Raw genomic sequence first — 23,630 nt, 5'->3', positions numbered from 1 at the left:
ATATTCCAAAAATGGTTGTACACTTTTACACTCCTACTAACAATGTATGGGAGTTCCAAGGGCTTCATATTATTACCAACCACTGGTGTTATTAGTCGTGTCAGTTTTAGCCATTTTAATGCTTGTGGCCATTTTTTTTGTTTGTTTGTATGTTTTTGTTTTGTTTTGAAACGATGTTTCACTCTTGTTGCCCAGGCTGGAGTGCAGTGATGCAATCGTGGCTCACTGCAACCTCCACCTCCCGAGTTCAAGCAATTCTCCTGCCTCAGCCTCCCAAGTAGCTGGGATTACAGGCATGCACCACCACACCTGGCTAATTTTATATTTTTTTTTAGTAGAGTTGGGATTTCTCCCATGTAGGTCAGACTGGTCTTGAACTCTTGACCTCAGGTGACCCACCTGCCTTGGCCTCCCAAAGTGCTGGGATTACAGGCGTGAGCCACCGCGCCCGGCCGTGGCCATGTTTTAATTTGCATTTCTCTGATGATTAACACTGTTAATTATCATTTCCACATACTGATTATCCATTCATATATCTCCTTTTGTGAAATGCCCAAGTTGTACCTGTACCCTTTTAAAATTGGATTGTTTATTGCTTACTGCTTTGTGGGGGTTGTTTTGGCTGTTTATAAGTTTTTATCAGATATGTGCATTGCAAATATTGTCTTCCAATCTCTGGACTGGTCTTTTTTTTTTTTTTTAGATGTTCAGGTTTAAAATTTTTATAAAGTCCAACTTACCAATTTTTTATTTTATGCATAGTAATTTTTGTATCTTGTTTAAGAACTCTTTGCCTAACCTAAGGTGGCATAATCACCTGTGTTTCTTTATAGAAGCTTTATAATTTTACCTTTTTCATAAAGTCCTATTTTAAATTAACAAAGAATACAAATTCATGGCTGGGCGCGGTGGCTCACACCTGTAATCCCAGCACTTTGGGAGGCCGAGGCAGGCAGATCATGAGGTCAGGAGATGAAGACCATCCTGGCTAACAAGGTGAAACCCTGTCTCTACTAAAAATACAAAAAATTAGCCGGACGTGGTGGCTGGCACCTGTAGTCCCAGCTACTCGGGAGGCTGAGGCAGGAGAATGGCGCGAACCGGAGAGGCGGAGCTTGCAGTGAGCCAAGATCGCGCCACTGCACTCCAGCCTGTGCAACAGAGCGAAACTCTTGTCTCCAAAAAAAAAGAATACAAACTCACAAATAAGTTTGGTAATAAAGCCTTTTTTATTATTGCTGAGATATACTTCACATTCCATAAAATCTACTCTTCTAAAGTGCGTGATTCAGTGTTTTAGGTTGGTTTGGTTGTTGCTGTTTTTGTTTGTGGTATATTTACAAAGTTTTTTGGTGACCATCACCACTGTCTAATTCCAGAACATTTCATCTCCCCAGAAAGAAACCTCGTACACATTGCAGTCATTATGGATTTGCCTATTCTGGACAAGTCATGTAAATGGAATCATCATACGTAGCCTTTTTGTGTTTGGCTTTTTTTCCTTAACCTAATGTTTTCAAGGTTCACCCATGTAGTATGCATTCTTTTTATGGCCAAATACTCCATTGTATTGACATACCACATTTTGTTTATTCATGAGTTCATGGACATGCCTTTTAACTTTTTAAAGAAAGCACATTTGTTTTTTCTTCTTCTTTTTTTTTTTTTCAGATTGTGGAATCCATTCACTCCTGAAATATTTAGTGCCTATGATATTACATTTACTTAGGGATATGTAGTTTTACTCATTTACCAAGCTTGGGACTGGGGATTCAAAGATGAATAAGATCTTCCCTCAGGGAGCTTTTTTTTTCTAGTGGAAGAAACAGGCATGTGAACAGATAAATTACAAGACAATCTGATGAAGATACTATTAGATTTATAATCTAAGGTAAAGTGTAATCCCAAAACTCAGTAGCTAACTCTGCTTGGAGGAATGAATAAGAACTTTTTAGAGTAGGTGACATTTGGAGCTAGATCTTTAAGAATAAATAAGAGTTTGCCAGGAGAGTGAGAATATTTCAGGTAGAAGACATGGCTTGTACAAAGGCATGGAATTGATATATCTTGGCACCTTTGAGAAGCTCAGTATGATAATTATGGGTAACATGAAAAGAGTCTGGAAAGGCAGATCTGGGCCAGCCCATGAAGAGCTTTACATCTAAGCAAAGGAACTTGGATTTTATTCTTTGGGTGTCTGGGAGACCAAAGGAGTTTGGCTAAATGAAATGGCATCACTGCTTATATAAGGTCTGTTAGAAGACCACATATCCAGTGAAGCCCAACTTTTCATTTTCTCCAGAAAATTTTGTCCATATTAGGCACCTTTTAAAAAATGAATGTATTGGCCAGGTGTGGTAGCTCGTGCTACCTGTAATCCCAGCAGATTACTTGAGGCCAGGAGTTTGAGACCAGCCTGGCCAACATGGCAAAACCCTATTTCTACTAAAAGTACAAAAACTAGCTGGGCGTGGTGGCACATACCTGTAATCTCAGCTAATTGGGAGGCTGGGGCACAAGAGTCTCTCAAGCTCAGGAGGCAGAAGTTGCAGTGAGCCGAGATCATGCTACTGCACCCCAGCCTGAGAGACAGAGAGAGACTCTGTCTAAAAAAAAAAAAAAAGAAAGAAGGGAAGAATATACCTCCCCTCAACCCAAACCATTCTCTCACTACCACCTTCTATCATAGTCTATTGACTTACCTGAAGTTATCAAGTTAATTTATTTCTTTGCTTAGCTACTGTTGTATCTTTCTTCCAGAGAGGTTCTTTTTTATCTTGCCCTAACCACTGCTTGGCACATAGTAGGTACATATCTGTATTTAATGATTAAATGAGCTATTCTACCTCTAATATCTTAAACTCTAGGATCCTGCCCTGTGATTATAGCCTCCTATTCCTTGTCCTCTCTGCCTCCCACTCTCCTTCTTTGCGTTTTTTCAGCACTTTGACCGTACTGCCTCCATTTTCTTTTGTTATTGTTGTCCCATCACTACGTTCCCTAACTAGCTTAGATCAATTCAGCTGTATTCTTGTCAGTCTTATACTCCATTTCCATAGCCTTCCTTTTCTTTTGTTCCGTATACCTATCAAAACCCTTACCTTGGCACAGTCTGATCCAAATTCAAGCACATGAGGTCCTACTGGAGAAAATCACCTAACTGTAGTTTGCAGCCAGTACATCGTCCTAGTTCATAGTCTTCAACGTTATGTAGATGTACAGCATTGCCTGGAAATCTTATGTTTTCTATTCAACATACACTCATGCACCAGTGAATGATGGGGCTCTGTTCTGAGGAATGCATTGTTAGGCAATTTTGTTGTTATGCAAACATCACACAGTGTACTTACACACACTAGATGGTATAGTCTACTACACACCTAGGCTGTATGATAATAGCCTATTGCTCTTGGGGTACAAACCTGTACAGCGTATTGCTGTGCTGAACACTGTAGGGAGTTGTAACACAATGGTAAGTATTTGTGTATCTAAACATATCCAAACATAGAAAAGGTACAGCAAAAATATGGTATAAAAGATAAAAAGTAGGCCGGGCACAGTGGCTCACACCTGTAATCCCAGCACTTTGGGAGGCCGAGGCAGGCGGATCACCTGAGGTCAGGAGTTTGAGACAAACCTGGCCAACATGGTGGAACCACATGTCTACTAAAAATATAAAAATTAGCCAGGCATGATGGCACACGCCTGTAAACCCAGCAACTGGGGAGGCTGAGGCAGGAGAATCACTTGAACCCGGAAGCGGAGGTTGCAGTGAGCCAAAATCGCACCACTGCACTTCAGCCTGGACGATAGACTGAGACTGCATCTCAAAAAAAAAAAAAAAAAAGATAAAAAGTGGTACACTTATATAGGGCGATCCATTCACTTACTGTGAATGGATTTTGCGAGACTGGAAGTTACTGGGTGAGTCAGTGAGTGAGTAGTCAGTGACTGTGAAAACCTAGGACAGTGTTGTACACTACTGTAGGTTTTATAAATAAGCACTGTATACTTAGGCTACATTAAATTTATTAAAAATGTTTTTCTTCAATAATAAAATTAACCTTAGCTTATTGTAAGTTTTTTCCTTATTAACTTTTTAATTTTAAAATCTTTTGAACTGTTGTGTAGTAACACTTTGTTTAGGACACAAACATTGTACAGCTGTACAAACATATTTTCTTTCTTTATGTGCTTATTCTAAGCTTTTTTCAGTTAAATTTTTTTAACCTTTTTGTTAAAAACTGAGACACAAACACACCATTAACGTAGGCCTACATAGAGTCAGGATTATCAGTACCACTATCTTCCATCTCCACATCTTGTCCCACTGTAAGGTCTTTAGGAGTAATAACACACATGGAACTGTCATCTCTTATGCTAATAATGCCTTTTTCTGGAATACCTCCTGAAGGATCTGCTTAAGGCTGTTTTACAGTTAATTTTTTTATAAGTAGGGGTACACTTTAAAATAATGATAAAAGTATAGTAAATTCATAAACCAGTAACATAGTCTTTTTTTTTTTTTTTCTTTTTTTTTTTTGAGACAGAGTCTCACTCTGTCGCCCAGGCTGGAGTGCAGTGGCGCAATCTTGGCTCACTGCAACCTCTGCTTCCTGGGTTCAAGAGATTCTCCTGCCTCAGCCTCCTGAGTAGCTGGGACTACAGGTGCATGCCACCACGCCTGGCTAATTTTTGTTTTGTACTTTTAGTAGAGACAGGGTTTCACCATGTTAGTCAGGATGGTCTCAATCTCCTGACCTTGTGATCTGCCCACCTCAGCCTCCCAAAGTGCTGGGATTACAGGTGTGAGCCACTGCACCCGGCCAACATAGTCTTTTATTATCAAGTATTGCGTATTTTACATAATTGTATCCGTAATACCTTCATATGACTGACAGTGCAGTAGGTTTGTTTACATGAGCATCACCACAGACATGTGCGTAATACTTTGTGCTACCATGTGATGACAGCTACAGTGTTACTAGGCAATAGGAGTTTTTGAACTGCATTATAATCTTATGAGACCACCATCATATATACAGTTTGTTGTTGACCAAAACGTTATATGGTGTATGACTATTTTATTTCCCAACAACTGCTATTCTCTTTTTTACTCTCTACTATCCCCACATCTTACCACCTTTCCCTTACTTGCCTTCACCTGCTTGACAAAGAAAATGGATCTCTTAGATATGGATTCCCTCCGCACCTTACCTTCATATCTACAAATCTTTCTGCACCCATGTACATCTTTATCTCCTTTCTTTCCATCCTAGTGTGAGAGTTATTTTCTTTGAGCTAATGCTTTCACTTGTGCTCTATATCCTGTTCTCTACTTCCTCAGAGGCCTTGTATTTCTCCTCCACCTCAGATTCTGTCATCAGCATATATGTAAACATGTTCAGATGTGTCATTTTTTAAATAGCAGAATATCTGTCACTCTCACTCTACTTGAGGTTTCATTTTCTTTCTCTTTTTTTCTTACCAGTTGTCTGTTTTCTCTGCTCCTATTCACTCTTCAGTCCCCTAGAATCTGACCTCTGTACTCTTTATTCCTTAGAACTGTCCTTGCTATGGTCACCAATGACTTTTGCTTCTCTAGTGGATACTTTTTAGTGACTCCCGTGGTAGTTCTTTTTCTTTTCTAAAATGTTCTTTTTCACTGGTTTCCGTGAGACCCCTTTCCCTATTTTCATCCTTTGTCGGTCTGTTCCTTTACAGTTTCCTTTGCATGGTATGAAAGCACAATTTAGTAGAAACAGTTCAGTGTGATGCAAGTCATTGTGGTTTAAGGAGGAGTCTCTGGTTTAGCCTGGATGTCTAGGTAGGTCTTTATCATTTACTAGCACACAGACATTTACTAAAGATTAGACAGAAGAAAACCAAAATTATATTTTCTGTCAAGAATTTGGGATGAAGATGTTTTATGTTGCCGGTTACACATAGTTTCACATACGTTGACAGAGTTAGGGTTAAGGCTCTCTTAAGGAAGTGAAGAATTGTGCCTGGTGGACAACCCACATAATGGCAGAAAATATTCACAAACTGTACATTTGACAAAAGTCTAATATACAGAATCTATAAGGAATTTAAACAATTTAACAAGCAAAAAACAACCCCAATAAACAGTGGGCAAAATATATGAACAGACAGTTCTCAAAAGAAGACATCCAACCAGCCAACAAACATGAAAAAATGCTCATCATCACTAGTCATCAGAGAAAGACAAATCAAAACTACAATGAGATACCATCTCACATCAATCAGATTGGCTATTATTAAAAAGTCAAAAAATAACAGATGCAGGTGAGGCTGTGGAGAAAAGGGAATACTTACACACCATTGATGGGAATGTAAAGTAGTTTAGCCACTGTGGAAAGCAGTTTGAAGATTTGTCAGAGAACTTTGAAAGAGAGCTACCATTTGACTCAGCGATCACATTACTGAGTATATATCCAAAAGAAAACAAAGCTACCAAAAAGACACATGCACTTGTATGTTCATTGCAGCATTGTTCACAATAGCAAAGACATGGAATCAACCTAGGGAGGGTCCCATCAGTGGTGGATTGGATAAAGAAAATGTGGTATGTATGTACTATGGAATACTACTCAGCCATAAAAAAGAATGAAATCCAGTCCTTTGCAGCAACACGAAGGCAGCTGGAGGCCGTTATCCTGAGTGAATTAATGCAGGAACAGAAAATCAGATACCGCATGTTCTCAGTTATAAGTGGGAGCTAAACATTGGATACTCATGGACATAAGGATGGCAACAATAGACACTGAGGACTAGTAGAGCAAGGCAGGAGGGAGAGGGGCAAGAGTTGAAAAACTTAATAGTTGGGTTGTATGCTCTCTCTCTGGGTGACAGCATCAGTTGTACCCTAAACCTCAGCATCATGAGATATATGCATGTAACTTGCACCACATGTACCCCCTGAATTTAAAAGTTGAAATTATAAAAAATAAATAGCCTGTTGTAACTAATGAGAAACAGCTCCTGGCATGTCTGTTCTCCCATTTCTTAGCAGCTGTCCTGTCATTTGTATTGTGTTCAGTTTACCAGATATTTGTCATTTGGTTTGTTTTCTCTTTCCCTTCTTCTCTGCCTCACCCACCCCATTAATCTTTTAAATTGTGGAATGTAATGGATATGTAAAAGTACATAAAACAAATGTGATGTACTGTTTAAATACATACTGTAAAGTAAAGATCCATGTCAGCACTATCTGGTCAAAACAGAGAACATAGTCATTGCGCCAGTTCACCTGTTACGTCCCTTTTCTGGTTACACTTTTCCCTCCACCTTACTCCTAGAAAATTACTCTCCAAACTCTGGAGGTCATTACTTACATTGTTTTCTTTATAGTTTAAAAACTAAGTATGAACCCCTAGACAAACGTTGCACGTTTTTAACCTCTATATAAGTGGAAAAATACAGTAGCTATCTGTGTGTGTGTGAGTCATTGTCTGACTTCTTTTGCTTGTGGTCTGTCCATTTTTGCCTATAGCTGAAATTCATTCATTGTGATAAATTTTTCCGAAGTGGAATTGCTGGGATCAACTTCATTTTTACTGGGATTTGTTTTAGTGTATGTGTGTGTGTATGTATACACACACATATATATACACATACTAAATTTATATATAAATTTTTAAAAAACTGTGTTCTAAAGAGATTGTGCCAATTTATTTATTTTTTATTTTTATTTTTTGAGACAGGGTCTCATTCTGTCACCCAGGGTGGAGTACAGTGGCATGATCACAGCTTGCTATAGCCCCGACCTTCCAGGCTCAAGCGATCCTCCCACTGCAGCCTCTTAAGTAGCTAGGACTACAGATGTGTGCTGCCATGCCTGGCGAATTTTGTTAACTTTTTGTAGAGACAGGGTCTCACTATGTTGTCCAGGCTGGTCTTGAACTCCTGGGCTCAAGTGATCCTCCTACCTTGAACTCCCAAAGTCCTGGGATTACAGGTGTGAGCCACCACACCCAGGAGTTGTGCCAGTTTGTATTCATACCAGCAGCATATGAGAATTTTCACTATACTTGATTGCTCTCCACTTTTTTTTTTTTGGCTTGTTTTTTGTCTTGTAAGTCCTTTGCTATTATTTAAACTGAAAACCATTTCATTTTTCACATTTCCATATTGGAGAAATAGTAACAAAACTACTTAAAAATATGGGTTAACCTTATTATGTCATCTTGGTCCATGACATGAAATCAGTACATATTTTCATTATGTTAAATATACTTATGTATATTTATTAAGTTAATGCTTTCAAAAATCACGAGATAACTATATTTTATATATACTGATAGTTACCAGTATTATTTTTAAATAAAGATAATTTTGTTTTGCCTTTATTTTTACTTTAAAGTTTTCAGCCATGAACTGGTGATATTTAATATAAAGATATATATATTATTTAACAATAAGATAATTTTGGGCTTTATTATATAGATTTATTTCTAATAATGTATATGGAATATTTATTAATGTAACTCTAATGGATCTTTACTTTTCCTTACTTTTCTTTCAAGTTGGCCTTTACCAGAGTTTGATCCAAGCCAGATTCGACTGATTGTATATCAAGACTGTGAAAGACGAGGGAGAAATGTTTTGTTTGACTCCAGTGTTAAGAGAAGAAATGAGGACATATCAGTATCGGTGAGCATCATTATTGATTTGGTTGACTTTTAATGTTGAACATTTTGATAATTCCAGTATTATCAAACTGGATAATTGGGGCTGAGGGAGAAGGAAATGACTGGATATTGGGGCTGAGGGAGAAGGAAATGTTTGGTGAATCTAACATTTTGATTTGAATAGCTGAGGAGTGGTTTGATGCTTAGGAGTCATAGAATTGGAGACAGTCAAGCAGACAGTTGAAATCCAAGGCTAACTTAACAAATGTGATAAGCATGACTTCTTTGTATTTAGACTGCTGACAACAGCTCAGCAGAACTTGGCTGAGGCTGATTTTTTTTTAATTATCTCGATTATTTTTTATTACTTTTTCAGCAAACATTTATTGAAGTTTTTTTTTTTGTATTTGATAGTATCCTATTGAATTTCAACATATGCCTCTCCCTTACTCTTAATTTTGATTAATGCTGTTCATTTTGTGTTTGTTCAGCTTTTCTCTTTTATGTTAAACAGCCCTGTAAGAATCCACTCATGCTGTTTTTTGAACTCTCCCTGCATACCTTTTCTGGGACGATGCTTCATTAGTCTCATTAATTTCTCTCCTGCGATGTATTCCTTCATCCCTCTCAGCTTTTCTCTTTGCTTGGAAACATTCACAAAGCTGCTAAAATAATTTTTCTTTACTTTTTCCTTCAGGTTTGTGTTTGTCTAGTTCAGGCTACTATAACAAAATACTGTAGACTGGGTGCCTTAAACAAGAAACTTTGGTTTCTCCCAGCATATTTGAGTTTTTTGTGAGGGCTGTCTTCTGGGTTGCAGACTGCTGACTTCTCACTCTACCCTTTACATGGTGGAAAGAAGGCAAGAGAACTCTTCAAGTCCTTTTTATAAGGACACCAACCCCATTCATGAGGACTTCGTTCTTATGACCTAATCACCTCCTAAAGTCCCCACCTCCTAATATCGCATGGTGGGTTAGGACGACATATAAATTTTGAGGAGAGACACACATTCAGTCCATAGCAGTGTCCTTCTCTGTCTTTTCCCATCCCTGGCCTCTTCGTCCCTCTCAGTCATCTTTCTTGGTGTCTGTTGGTGTCTCTCATTTTCCCTTTGTCTCTCTATCACTCAGGCTCTCTAGAGTGTCTCTTCTCAGTCTCTCTGTTGGTCTCTCCTTGGTCTTCTCTGTCTCTCGGTGTCTCAGTAGTAATACATTGACTCTCTTCTCAAACTATCCAGTTATTACTCAACTTTCTGAAATTTGCCTATAAACCTACTCTTCTTTTTATTATAAAACTTTTCTAGAAACTCATCAGTGTCTAGAAATCAAACATTGTTGACTACTTCCAGTCTCATTTATTTTATTATGCCTTTATCCTATATACTATCTCCCTTAATTGAAAATTTATCCTCCTTCAGAGTTTATCACAACTTTATGAATCCTTTCTGATTTTCTCTAGGTAGATTTATTTTCTCCTCCATCAGAATTCTCATAATTCTTTACTCATATTCATAGCCTTCTATATCATAGCTGTATTCGTATGTGTATTTGTTACTAGACTGGGAAAAAAACCTTAAAGTAAAAAATTGTCCTGTTACTCACCTTTATTTCCTACACTGCACATTGCCTTACATGTGGTAAGTACTCAGGACACATTTTGATCGATTGTAATTACTGTTAGGAAGTTTATTTTCAAAATCCTGTAAATACTCTCCTGAAGATTTTATGTCTTCCTTTTGAACACTACTGTACATATTGAAATACTCATTGTTTGTCCTGGGTTCTATATATGGAAAGAAGGACATTGTGCTGTAAATTTTTTTAAACTTTCTACATTATAATTTGGGTTCATACATAATAAAGACATTATGTTTAAGCATTAGCAGTTTGCTGTATGAAAGTAAATTATTCAGCTTTGCTGTATTTGTACAATATTCTATTTTGCTGTGGTAAATGTTGAAGTAACTTCTCATGTTCTTCTTTCTTAGTTTTAAAACACTTTTCTTAGTTTAAAACAATTTACAAGAGAGAATAAGGACTATAAATATTATTTTGACCATTTAATATACCAAAGCCTTTTCTTTTTTGAGACAGGGTTTTTTGTTGTCTGTTTGTTTTCTTGAGACAGGGTCTCGCTCTCTCGCCCAGGCTGGAGTGCAGTGGCACAATCTCAGCTCACTGAAACCTCTGCCTCCAGGCTCAAGCAGTTCTCGTGCCTCAGCCTTGCGAGTAGCTGGGATTACAGGTGTGCACCACCACACCTGGGTAATTTTTACATTTTTAGTAGAAATGGGGTTTCGCCTTGTTGGCCAGACTGGTCTCGAACTTCTGGGCTCAAGCGAACCGCCTGCTTTGGCCTCATAAAGTGCTGGGATTACCAGCGGGAGCCACTTTGCCTGGCCTATTTACCAAAACTTTTATTGAAAACATTCTTTTTAAAAAAATTAGAACATAATGTCGCCATGAGTTATAAACAGAAAGTCAAGCTTTAGAATGTGAGCCTTGCAAAATTGTTTTACTCTGTTCGCTTTATCAAAAAAGAAATTAAAACATTTTCTCATTTGGAAGCAGCGTCCATCTGTCCTGCTATGTTGCCCAGGCTGGACTTGAATTCCTGGGATCACGCAGTCCTCCCTCTTCAGGCTACTTGGGACAGTTTGTTATCAGCCTGAATCTGAATTTTTGAAAAATATCATTTGAAAATTGCCAAGTAGGAGTAGAAGATAGTAATATTTGGGCTCACTCAATATGTTTGAGTGTATTTAATTAAATCAAAATCCTATTGATTGTTTACTGTGAAGCTATTTCAGCGTTAAAAAATAGTCATTGTAAAAATACTTACTGGAGTCCTTTTAAATGTGTAAGACACATGGCAGTTTTCCTTGTAAAGATTATAGATGATCATAATTCACTTTGAGTACCTTTTATCTGGAGTGTGAGAGAAGGCAATATTTCACAGTGGAATATTGATCCATTTCTGCGTTTGGTTGAACCAAAGAATTGTCAATGAAGAATATAACAGCAGTTTATTAATATAAGCAGATCATTTTTGTATTTCCATGCAAAGCAAACATTGTGTATGTAGAGTATATTTAATGGGTTTTGGGAGAAAATTAGGAAGCTATGTATTTTATTACATTTTAAATTCTATACAAAGTGAACTACATAAATGCTTTGATTATGCTTCAGAAACCAAAGTACTTTGCATGCTCAAATAGTGTCTTATGTAAGTTGAAATAAAATTGTTAATCAGTGTATAGCTTCCTCAGAACTCATTTTTTCAGATCTGTTATATATTTTATGAAAAATGACTGTTGAATTATAAAACCCAATTAAAGTGAATATGTGTAGTGATCTTAAAGAAGTGTTACCGGAAAGGGGTCTGGATCCAGACCCCAAGAGAGGGTTCTTGGATCTTGAGCAAGAAAGAATTCAGGGCAAATCCGTAAAGTGAAAGCAAGTTTATTAAGAAAGTAAAGGAATAAAGAATGGCAACTCCATAGGCAGACCAGCCCCGAGGCCTGCTGATTGTGGGTTTTTATGGTTATTTCTTGATTGTATGCTAAACAAGGGGTGGATTATTCATGCCTCCCATTTTTTACACCATATACTGTAATTTACTGATGTTGCCAGTGGCATTTGTAAACTGTCATGGAGCTGGTGGGAGTGTAGTAGTGAGGATGACCAGAGGTCACTCTTGTCGCCATCTTGGTTTTGGTGCATTTTAGCCAGCTTCTTTACTGCAGGCTTTTTCATCATCAAGGTTTTTATGACTTATGTCTTGTGCCAACCTCCTATCTCCTCCTGTGACTTAGAATGCTTTAACCATCTGGGAATGCAGCCCAGTCGGTCTGAGCCTTATTTTACCCAGCCCCTATTCAAGATGGAGTTGCTCTGGTTCAACATCTCTGACAGAAGAACCTTCCCGTGGTAGAAAAATATATTGAGATATGGTTTCGATATGAACACTAACATAGCCAAATGGATCCATTCTGATTTTATCACACTATTATCCTTATCCTAGACATTGTTTTTATGTCAACAACAGTGCAATGCTATTTCATGAGTTCCCAGTTAAGTTATATGACCATTCACATGTATCAGCTTTCACTGATTCTAAACAAGGATAAAGTTGTACATCAGTAAATTCACATAACTTTGGAAAGATGATTACAGATTTTAAGACATGAGAAACACTCCGAAGCATCGTACAGTGCTAATTGAATAGTTGAGTCTTATTTATGATATCACATTTGCACATAGGATTTGGTTAGATAATTGGATTTAGGTTAATATACAGAAATCAGTAAGCTCAATATATGCAAATAGCTTCCAGTTTGAACACATAAAAGTGAGACATTCATTTAAAATAGAAATTAAAATGACAAAGTTGCCTATGCATACACTTAACAAAATCTGTAAGTTTAGAACTTTAAAAGTCTTCTTAAGGGACGTAAAAACGTACCTTAACAAATGGAAAGGCTAAACATATTCCATGGCAGTAGTCAATGTTATAAAGTTGTCCAAAGTGCTTTGTAAAATAATGCTATCACAGAAACAATGTTATCCTTATTTTTGTGTGTTTGGGGTGGGGGTAGTGTCTGGAACTAAATAGTGGATTCTAAAGTTCAAATGGAAAAAAATTAGCAATGATTGGTTGGAAAACTGAAAAAGAAGGGCAGTGAGGATGAGCCAGTCCTATCACATTTGAAAATATACTGCACAGTCTCAGTATCTAAAACAGTGTTTTTTTTTTTTTTTTTTTTTTTTTGAGCTGGAGTCTCACTCTGTCACCCAGGCTGGAGAGCAGCGGCGCAATCTCAGCTCACTACAAGCTCCGCCTCCTGGGTTCACGCCATTCTCCTGCCTCAGCCTCCCGAGTAGCTGGGACTACAGGCACCGGCCACCACGCCCGGCTAACGTTTTGTATTTTTAGTAGAGACAGGGTTTCACTGTGTTAGCCAGGGTGTTCTCCATCTCCTGACCTCGTGATCCACCCACCTCGGCCTCCCAAAGTGCTGGGATTACGGGCGTGAGCCACCACGCCTGGCCAAACAGTGTGTTATTGACACATAAATAGGCAATAGACTAATGGAACAAAATAGAGGATCAGAAATACATCCAAATACGTTCAGGAATTTTGGTATATGATTAAGGCATCATCTTAAATGGTGTTGAGACAATTAGCCATGTGGAAGAAAGATTAATTTAGACTCATACTGTTACTACTTACTATTATTATTATTTTAAAGATGGCGTCTTACTGTTTTATCCAGGCTGGTCTCAAACTCTTGGGCTCAAGCATGAGTCACTGTGCCCAGCCTTAATTTGGATTCATATCTTACAGTGTACATCAGGATGAAACCAAGTATATCAAACATTTAAATATAAAAATATAAAACTATAACATTACAAAAGAAAAAATGAGGGAGTTCCTATATATCTGTGGAGTGGAAAAGGTATCTCTAGGCTGGGTGCAGTGGCTCACGCCTGTAAACCCAGCACTTTGGGAGGTCAACATGGGTGAATTACTTGAGGCCAGGTGTTTGAGACCAGTCTGGCCAACATAGGAAGACCCCGTCTCTACAGAAAACATAAAAATTAGCTGGGTGTGGTGCTGAGTGTCTGTAGTCCCAGCTACTGGGAGACTGAGGCAGAAGAATCACTTGAGCCCAGGAAGTGGAGGTTGCAATGAGCCAGGATCACGCCACTGCACTCTACCCTAAGTGACAAAGCAAGACCCTCTCCCCGCTGGCCAAAAAAAAAAAAAAGGCCGGATGCAGTGGCTCATGCCTGTAATCCCACACTTTGGGAGGCTGAAAGGCTGAGGAGGGTGGATCACATGAGGTCGGGAGTTCAAGACCAGCCTGGCCAACGTGGTGAAACCCCGTCTCTACTAAAAAAAAAAGTACAAAAATTAGCCGGGTGTGGTGGCACGTGCCTGTAGTTTCATCTACTAGGGAGGCTGAGACACGAGAATTGCTTGATCCCAGGAGGCGGTGGCTACAGTGAGCCAAGATTGCAGTCATGCCACTGCACTCCAGCCTGGGCAACAGAGTGAGACTCTGTCTCAAGCAAAGATATTTCTAGCTATGAGTTAAAATTCAGAAGCCATAAAGTAAAAGATTGACAAATTTGACAGCCAATTTTTTTTCAACTTGCATGATAAAACAGAAAACAACACCATAAGGAAAGTTAAAAGACAGATGGCAACCTGAGAAAACACTTTGACAATTTAAAATGCCAAGTGTTAATATAAAGAGTTCCTAGAAATCAAGAACCACTCAGTAGATAATTGAGTGAAGGACAAGAGCTGAGCGTTGATATACAAATTGATATGACACGTTTAATAAAATCATACGTTTATAAGATCCTCTCCCTTATCCATAATTAAGAAAATGAAAATCAAAACTATACTGAAGCTGGGCATGGTGAGGTGAGAGGATTGCTTGAGCTCAGGAATTTGAGGCCAGCCTGGGCAATATGGTGAGAACTCAACTCTTAAAAAAAAGAAAAGCAAAAAAACCTATACTGAGATTTCAGGTCTTTCCTTTTCTAATGACAAAAACTAATGTCTGCTGATCTGAGGTGGAACAGTTTCATCCTGAAACCATATCCCCACTACCCTGCCCCAGTCTGCAGAAAAATTGTCTTGCACGAAACTGGTGCCTGGTGCCAAAAAGGTTGGCAACCGCTGTTAAGCACTAGGGAATACAGGTGAATAAAAGAAGACATAGTCCTTTTCCTCATGGAACTAAGAATCTAACAGGAGAAAGAGACAGTTAACAGATAATTACACAAATATGTGTAATGAAATGTGTATTCCAAGTATGTCTAATAAAAGTAATAATGATAGCAGCAGCTAACTCACGTTAGCACTTACTATCTTTACATGTAAAGAGTAAATATATGTAAAACAGAAGAGTACTACCATTATTATTCCGATTTATAGATAAAGAGGTTAAAGGATGACAATGTTTAAGTGAATTGCCATGAAAGGACTTCATTTAGTCTAGGGAGATCAAGAAAGTGATATTTTAAGCTTAGACTATGGGGGAAAAATGCGTTAAGAGTTAAGGTGAAAGAGGAAGCACTTGAGAGAGCTGGAAAGACATTCCAGGCTGAGGTAACCCTGTATGTCCAATCTCTGAAACAAAAGTTTGCTAGAGGAAGAAAAGGGACATACTTCAGTTCCAGGACTAAAGCATAAAAACACACCTAAAAGTGTGTACAAAAGGATGCACATACACACACATACTATTCTCCCATCAGCTCCTCAGCTGTTGTTTCTCTACTCCCTCCCATCTTGAAGTCGTGACTTTTCTGAAAGCAAACAGCAGCAACTACAGTGGCAGATGGTCCTGTAATGAGGGGACAAGGTGCAGTCAACAACAATCCCTCATGTAAGCACAGGACTTCTATAAGCAGGAATTGTAGGAAAAAGGGTTCAATTTCTTATTATTTTACTTTGTTATCTCAGAGAAGTGATGCTGTACTTTATGTCTAGCCCACAAAAACAAATACCTTCGAATTATGCAAAAAAAGTTATAAATATTACTGAAAAATACAACTGGCTTTCTATAACTAGGTTATAATTTTTATTAACTTTTTGAAACAATCACAAATAAGTTGCAAGTTCAATACAAAGAACTTTTGCTTTTCTGAACCGAATAAGAGTAAACTGCCTACTTGATATCCCATCAGCTTTGAATACGTCAATGTGTATTTCCTAAAAATATGAACATTCTTCTACGTAACCACAATACAGCAAAAATTCAGGAAATCATTGATATATTATAGCCAAATAATCCTCAGATCCCATTAAAACTTGGCAAGTTGTCAAAATAACATCCTACAGAACAAAAGGATCCAGTTGAGAATCTTGCATTGCATTTATTTGTTGTATCTCTTTAGAGATAGATCTCTCCCATGCACAGTTCACAATAGGATTCGAACTCCTATGAGGATCTAATGCTGAGGCTGATGTGACAGGAGGTGGAGTGCAGGCGGTAATGCTCACTTGCCCACTGCTCACCTCTTGCCATGTGGCCTGGTTCCTAACAGGCCATGGACTGGTACTGGTCTGCAGCCACCCTCTGGCTTAGAACGCGTAGTACTTAAATACTTTTGTTGACTGATGAAATGGTGGTTCGTGATAGTGGATAAGTCAAGCCAACTGGGTTTTGTCTATAAGTAGATAACAGATTTACTAGCTCTTGTAACCTTGGTGAAGTTATTTAACCTGTTTGAGCTTCACGTTTCTCATCTGTAAAATAGCATCGATAATACCTACCATGCTTAGTATTAGAGAAAATGTACATTAAGGCCTGGCATTTTGTTGGTGATCAATAAGTAATAAGGTTATTAAGATGTGGCGAAGGATGCCAATAGTAAAAATACCCGTATTTTTATCAAGAGTTGAAACATACATGGAAATACCTAGTGAAGTGCCTGACTTCAATTATGTTAGCCCCTCATGTTAACTGTTTTCTAATAACAATTATAACGAGGTTGAATGCAGTGGCTCACACCTGTAATCCCAGCCAGGGATTACTTTGGGAGGCCAAGGTGGGAGGATTACTTTAGCCCAGGAGTTTGACACCAGCCTAGGCAACATAATGAGACCTCATCTCTACAAAAAGTAAAATTAGCTGGATGTGGTGGCATACGCCTGTAGTCCCAGCTCTGTGGAGATAGCTAGGATATTATAACTATTATATATAATATGTATTATACATGTGTGTATATAAAATACACACACACACACACACACACATTCCCTTAAGTGTTGTTAGGTAGGGTTTTTCTTCCCCTTAAACAAATAACAAATTAAGGTTTAGAGAGGTCAGTTAACTTGCTCAAGGATACAGGTTTTGAACTCACATCTAGTTCTTCTAATATACATATTTTATACGTATATATACATATATATGTGCATATATACGTATATACGTATACATATATAAATATGTGTATATGTATACATATATAAATACGTGTATATGTATACATATATAAATATGTGTATATGTATATACATGTATATAAATACGTATATATGTATATACGTATATATACATATTTTATACGTATATATACATATATACGTATGTGTGTATATATATAAAATACTTTAAGTTCTAGGGTACATGTGCACAATGTGCAGGTTTGTTACATATCTATACATGTCCCATGTTGGTGTGCTGCACCCATTAACTCGTCATTTACATGAGGTATATCTCCTAATGCTGTTCCTCCCCGCTCCCCCGACCCCACAGCAGGCCCTGGTGTGTGATGTTCCCCTTCGTGTGTCCAAGTGTTCTCATTGTTCAATTCCTACCTATGAGTGAGAACATGCAGTGTTTGGTTTTTTGTCCTTGCGATAGTTTGCTGAGAATGATGGTTTCCAGCTTCATCCGTGTCCCTACAAAGGACATGAACTCATCCTTTTTTATGGCTGCATAGTATTCCATGGTGTATATGTGCCACATTTTCTTAATCCAGTCTATCATTGTTGGACATTTGGGTTGGTTCCAAGTCTTTGCTATTGTGAGTAGTGCTGCAATAAACATACGTGTGCATGTGTCTTTATAGCAGCATGATTTATATTCCTTTGGGTATATACCCAGTAATGGGATTGCTAGGTCAAATGGTATTTCTAGTTGTAGATCCCTGAGAAATCGCCACACTGTCTTCCACAATGGTTGAACTAGTTTACAGTCCCACCAACAGTGTAAAAGCATTCCTATTTCTCCACATCCTCTCCAGCCCTTGTTGTTTCCTGACTTTTTAATGATCGCCATTCTAACTGGTGTGAGATATCTCATTGTGGTTTTGATTTGCATCTCTCTGATGGCCAGTGATGATGAGCATTTTTTCATGTGTCTGTTGGCTGCATAAATGTCTTCTTTTGAGAGGTGTCTGTTCATATCCTTCGCCTACTTTTTGATGGGGTTGTTTGTTTTTTTTCTTGTAAATTTGTTTGAGTTCTTTGTAGATTCTGGATATTAGCCCTTTGTCAGATGAGTAGGTTGCAAAAATTTTCTCCCATTCTGTAGGTTGCCTGTTCACTCTGATGGTAGTTTCTTTTGCTGTGCCAAATCTCTTTAGTTTAATTAGATCCCATTTGTCAATTTTGGCTTTTGTTGCCATTGCTTTTGGTGATGTAGACATGATTAAAAGAACTAGAGAAGCAAGAGCAAACAAATTGAAAAAGCTAGCAGAAGGCAAGAAATAACTAAGATCAGAGCAGAACTGAAGGAGATAGAGACACAAAAAACCCTTCAAAAAATCCATGAATCCAGGAGCTGGTTTTTTGAAAAGATCAACAAAATTGATAAACCGCTAGCACGACTAATAAGAAAAGAGAGAAGAATCAAATAGACGCAATAAAAAATGATAAAGGGGATATCACCACCGATCCCGCAGAAATACAAACTACCATCAGAGCATACTATAAACACCTCTACGCAAATAAACTAGAAAATCTAGAAGAAATGGATAAATTCCTCAACACATACATCCTCCCAAGACTAAACCAGGAAGAAGTTGAGTCTCTGAATAGACCAGTAACAGGCTCTGAAATTGAGGTAATAATTAATAGCTTACCAATCAAAAAAAGTCCAGGACCAGACAGATTCACAGCCGAATTCTACCAGAGGTAGAAGGAGGAGCTGGTACCATTCCTTCTGAAACTATTCCAATCAATAGAAAAAGAGGGAATCCTCCCTAACTCATTTTATGAGGCCAGCATCATCCTGATACCAAAGCCTGGCAGAGACACAACAAAAAAAGAGAATTGTAGACCAATATCCCTGATGAATATTGATGCAGAAATCCTCAATAAAATACTGGCAAACCAAATCCAGCAGCACATCAAAAAGCTTATCCACCATGATCAAGTGGGCTTCATCCCTGGGATGCAAGGCTGGTTTAACATACGCAAATCAATAAATGTAATCCAGCATATAAACAGAACCAAAGACAAAAACCACGTGATTATCTCAATAGATGCAGAAAAGGCCTTTGACAAAATTCAACAGCCCTTCATGCTAAAAACTCTCAATAAATTAGGTATCGATGGGACATATCTCAAAATAATAAGAGCTATATATGACAGACCCACAGCCAAAATCATACTGAATGGACAAAAACTGGAAGCATTCCCTTTGAAAACTGGCACAAAACAAGGATGCCCTCTCTCACCACTCCTATTCAACATAGTGTTGGAAGTTGTGGCCAGGGCAATCAGGCAGGAGAAAGAAATAAAGGGTATTCATTTAGGAAAAGAGGAAGTTAAATTGTCCCTGTTTGCAGATGACATGATTGTGTATCTAGAACACCCCTCGTCTCAGCCCAAAATCTCCTTAAGCTGATAAGGAACTTCAGCAAAGTCTCAGGATACAAAATCAATGTGCAAAAATCACAAGCATTCTTATACACCAATAACAGACAAACAGAGAGCCAAATCATGAGTGAACTCCCATTCACAATTGCTTCAAAGAGAATAAAATACCTAGGAATCCAACTTACAAGGGATGTGAAGGACCTCTTCAAGGAGAACTACAAACCACTGCTCAACGAAATAAAAGAGGACACAAACAAATGGAAGAACATTCCATGCTCATGGATAGAAAGAATCAATATCGTGAAAATAGCCATACTGCCCAAGGTAATTTATAGATTCAGTGCCATCCCCATCAAGCTATCAATGACTTTCTTCACAGAATTGGAAAAAACTACTTTCAAGTTCATATGGAACCAAAAAAGAGCCCACATTGCCAAGTCAATCCTAAGCCAAAAGAACAAAGCTGGAGGCATCATGCTACCTGACTTCAAACTATACTATAAGGCTACAGTAACCAAAACAGCATGGTGCTGGTACCAAACAGAGATACAGACCAATGGAACAGTAAAGAGCCCTCAGAAATAATACCACACATCAACAACTATCTGATCTTTGACAAACCTGACAAAAACAAGCAATGGGGAAAGGATTCCCTGTTTAACAAATGGTGCTGGGAAAACTGGCTAGCCATATGTAGAAAGCTGAAACTGGATCCCTTCCTTACACCTTATACAAAAATTAATTCAAGATGGATTAAAGACTTAAATGTTAGACCTAAAACCATAAAAACCCTAGAAGAAAACCTAGGCAATACCATTCAGGACATAGGCATGGGCAAGGACCTCATGTTGAACTCATATCTAGTTCTAAAGCTTTTATTCTTTTTACTTTAAATTTTTGGTTAGAGATAACTGGAGACTAGTACATGTAATTTTTAACAATGCCTTTGGTGATGTTGGTAACTAGAAAACATTCAGTCTTCAGTAAATGTGACTTTAGTCAGATTATTTGTTCTAAAAACCTACCTGAGGTTTGTTAAATGAAAGAATGGACATACTGGTAACTGTGATAAAGCACTGGAATACTTTTAGGAATATCACAGATGTTGGTGGATTGTAACTTTGGTAGTTGTGAGCAGTGAAAGATGTAGAGAAGCTGTTGGGGAGGAAAAAGAGAAAGAGGAATTAAAAAGAAATACATTTTTCTTCTACACTAGACTGCACAACCATCTGGTCCTAAGTTCATTCTCTCATTAAAATTTTATTTATTACATTAGTATATTCTCATTTCGAAAGAATAAACATATGTATAGTTAAATCTGAAAGTCTCATTTGCATTTCTCCTTTCATCCCTGCATTTCTCCCCAGAAAAATAGGTTATTTTTTATAACAGTGTTACTTACATTAACTTGGGTTTATTGTTGTATTTAAATGAATGAATAAGTATTTTTTACATGGTCTCAGTTTTGATTTCTAATATGGGAAAATATTGATAAATATAACCCATGTACACAAAAGACTCTTGGGATCCTCGATAACTTGTAAGAACATTAAGGGTTGTTTTGTTTGTTTGGGTTTTTTTTTGTTTTTTTTTTTGAAACAGAGTCTCACTCTGTCACCCAGGCTGGAGTGCAGTGGTGCAGTCTCAGCTCACTTCCCAGGTTCAAAAGATTCTTGTGCCTCATCCTCCCAAGAAGCTGGGATTACAGGCATGTGCCACCATGCCCAGCTAATTTTTGTCTTTTTAGTAGAGACAGGGTTTCTCCCTGTTGGTCGGGCTGGTCTTGAACTCCTGGTGTCAAGTGATCCACCTCCTCAGCTTCCCAAAGTGCTGGAATTACAGGTATGAGCCACCAAGCCCTGCCCATAAAGGGGTTTTGAGACCAAATAATTTGAAAACTACTGCAATATATTATTACATCGGTATTAATGAACATCGTATAGGCCGTGGTAATCTAGAAAATTCTCAGGATATAATAATGTTGGCCAGAAATACAAACCCCACAAATTTTATTATAGTTATGAGACAAAGAATAGAAAATAGTACTGGAGAAAATACAGCAAAATGCCAATAGCCATATTAATGTTGTATTTTGAGTTATTTCATTCTTGGTTTTTCCAAAGGTTTTTATACTTTGATGAAATTTGTATATGGTTAAAAATCTGTTAAAACATGAGTGGAAATATCTGTTATTTCAGAAACTCGGCAGTGATGCTCAAGTTAAAGTCTTTGGGAAATGCTGCCAACTGAAACCTGGAGGAGACAGTTCTTCCTCTTTAGATAGTTCTGTGACTTCATCTTCTGATATAAAAGACCAGTGTCTTAAGTACCAGGTAAGATCATTGATGTCATTTATTTATTCATTCATTTATAATTAGTTTTGAACATCATCCAGTGGACTGTGGAGATATAATAGCAATTAGTCCTTATCTTCCTAGAGCTTGCATTGAAGCTGGAGAGACAGATAAACAATTATGTTTATGAACTTTGATAAATCTTAGAATAGGAGAAGTAGAAAGCTATAGGCATAGATTGCATGAGTATTTTCTCCTTATATTTCCCAATTCAGATTTATTGGGTTATCAGAATAATTTCTTATTTTACATACTTTTTTATTATTGAAAAATGAAGATAAATATACTAATACAGTTTCAGTTGTATGAAATTAAAGTATGATTGGAAGTATACATAATACACAGTTTTATTTCTCAAAAGTAATGTGACTTCTTGTAAAATATGGAATTAAACGTATTAGTAAGTATAATACATAGGAACTTCTCTCTAAATGTATTACATTTTATATAAGATCAGTATTTGGTCTCATGCTTAGCAAGTGTCATCTGATGTAAATTTATCTGTGTCATCCAAGTTTGCATTAATCACAAGTATTTTATATTTACTCAGTATCAAAATAGAATCTTGACTTTTTAATTACTGGTAATGAGATGATTGTGTTTTGATGGAAATTGATCTTTATACCTAATCAATGGGACAAGCTATGTGAAAAGAGTCTGAAATTACTAAACTCCACTTGGATTTACTGCACAGTTCCCCCTGCCTTCTTCTATTCCATCTCCCCTTTAGGCATGATACCTTAACAAATCCATAATAGTCCTGTGCTATACAACACCATCATGACTTACACCATTTTGCACAACTTTGAAAGTTTTGTGATTTTTAAAAAATTAGCCATGTGGGCCGGGCATGGTGGCTCATGCCTGTAATCCCAGCATTTTGGGAGGCTGAGGTGGGCGGATCACCTGAGGTCAGGAGTTCGAGACCAGCCTGACCAACATGGAGAAACCCTATCTCTACTAAAAATGTAAAATTAGGCATGGTGGCACATGCCTGTAATCCCAGCTACTCAGGAGGCTGGGGCAGGAGAATTGCTTGAACCTGGGAGGCGGATGTTGTGGTGACCCAAGATTGCGCCATTGCACTACAGCCTGGGTAACAAGAGCGAACCTCTGTCTCAAAAAAAGAAAAAAAAAATTAGCTGTGTGTGGTGGTGTGAGCCTGTAGTCCCAGCTACTCAGGAGGCTGAGGTGGGAGGATTGCTTGAGCCCAGAAGTTCTAGGATGTGGTGAGTTATGATCATGCCATAGCAACCCACCCTGGGTGACAGAG

General features: G+C 37.9%; 1 protein-coding gene across 4 annotated transcripts in view; it reads left to right on the top strand.

Moving 5' to 3' along the window:
• FNIP1 (folliculin interacting protein 1) overlaps positions 1-23,630 on the top strand; it is a 155,304-nt gene that overhangs the window by 43,778 nt on the left and 87,896 nt on the right. For 3 of the 4 annotated variants that reach the window (NM_001008738.3, NM_133372.3, NM_001346113.2), the window contains exons 2-3: positions 8,550-8,676; positions 22,202-22,336. In NM_001008738.3, the coding sequence (NP_001008738.3) occupies positions 8,550-8,676; positions 22,202-22,336 (262 nt within the window). The remainder of the gene's footprint in view (positions 1-8,549; positions 8,677-22,201; positions 22,337-23,630) is intronic. The other variant, NM_001346114.2, reaches the window with a different exon arrangement.

This window comes from Homo sapiens, chromosome 5 (genome assembly GCF_000001405.40).
Source record: "Homo sapiens chromosome 5, GRCh38.p14 Primary Assembly".
NCBI lineage: Eukaryota > Metazoa > Chordata > Mammalia > Primates > Hominidae > Homo > Homo sapiens.
This window is presented reverse-complemented; position numbering and strand designations above follow the sequence as displayed.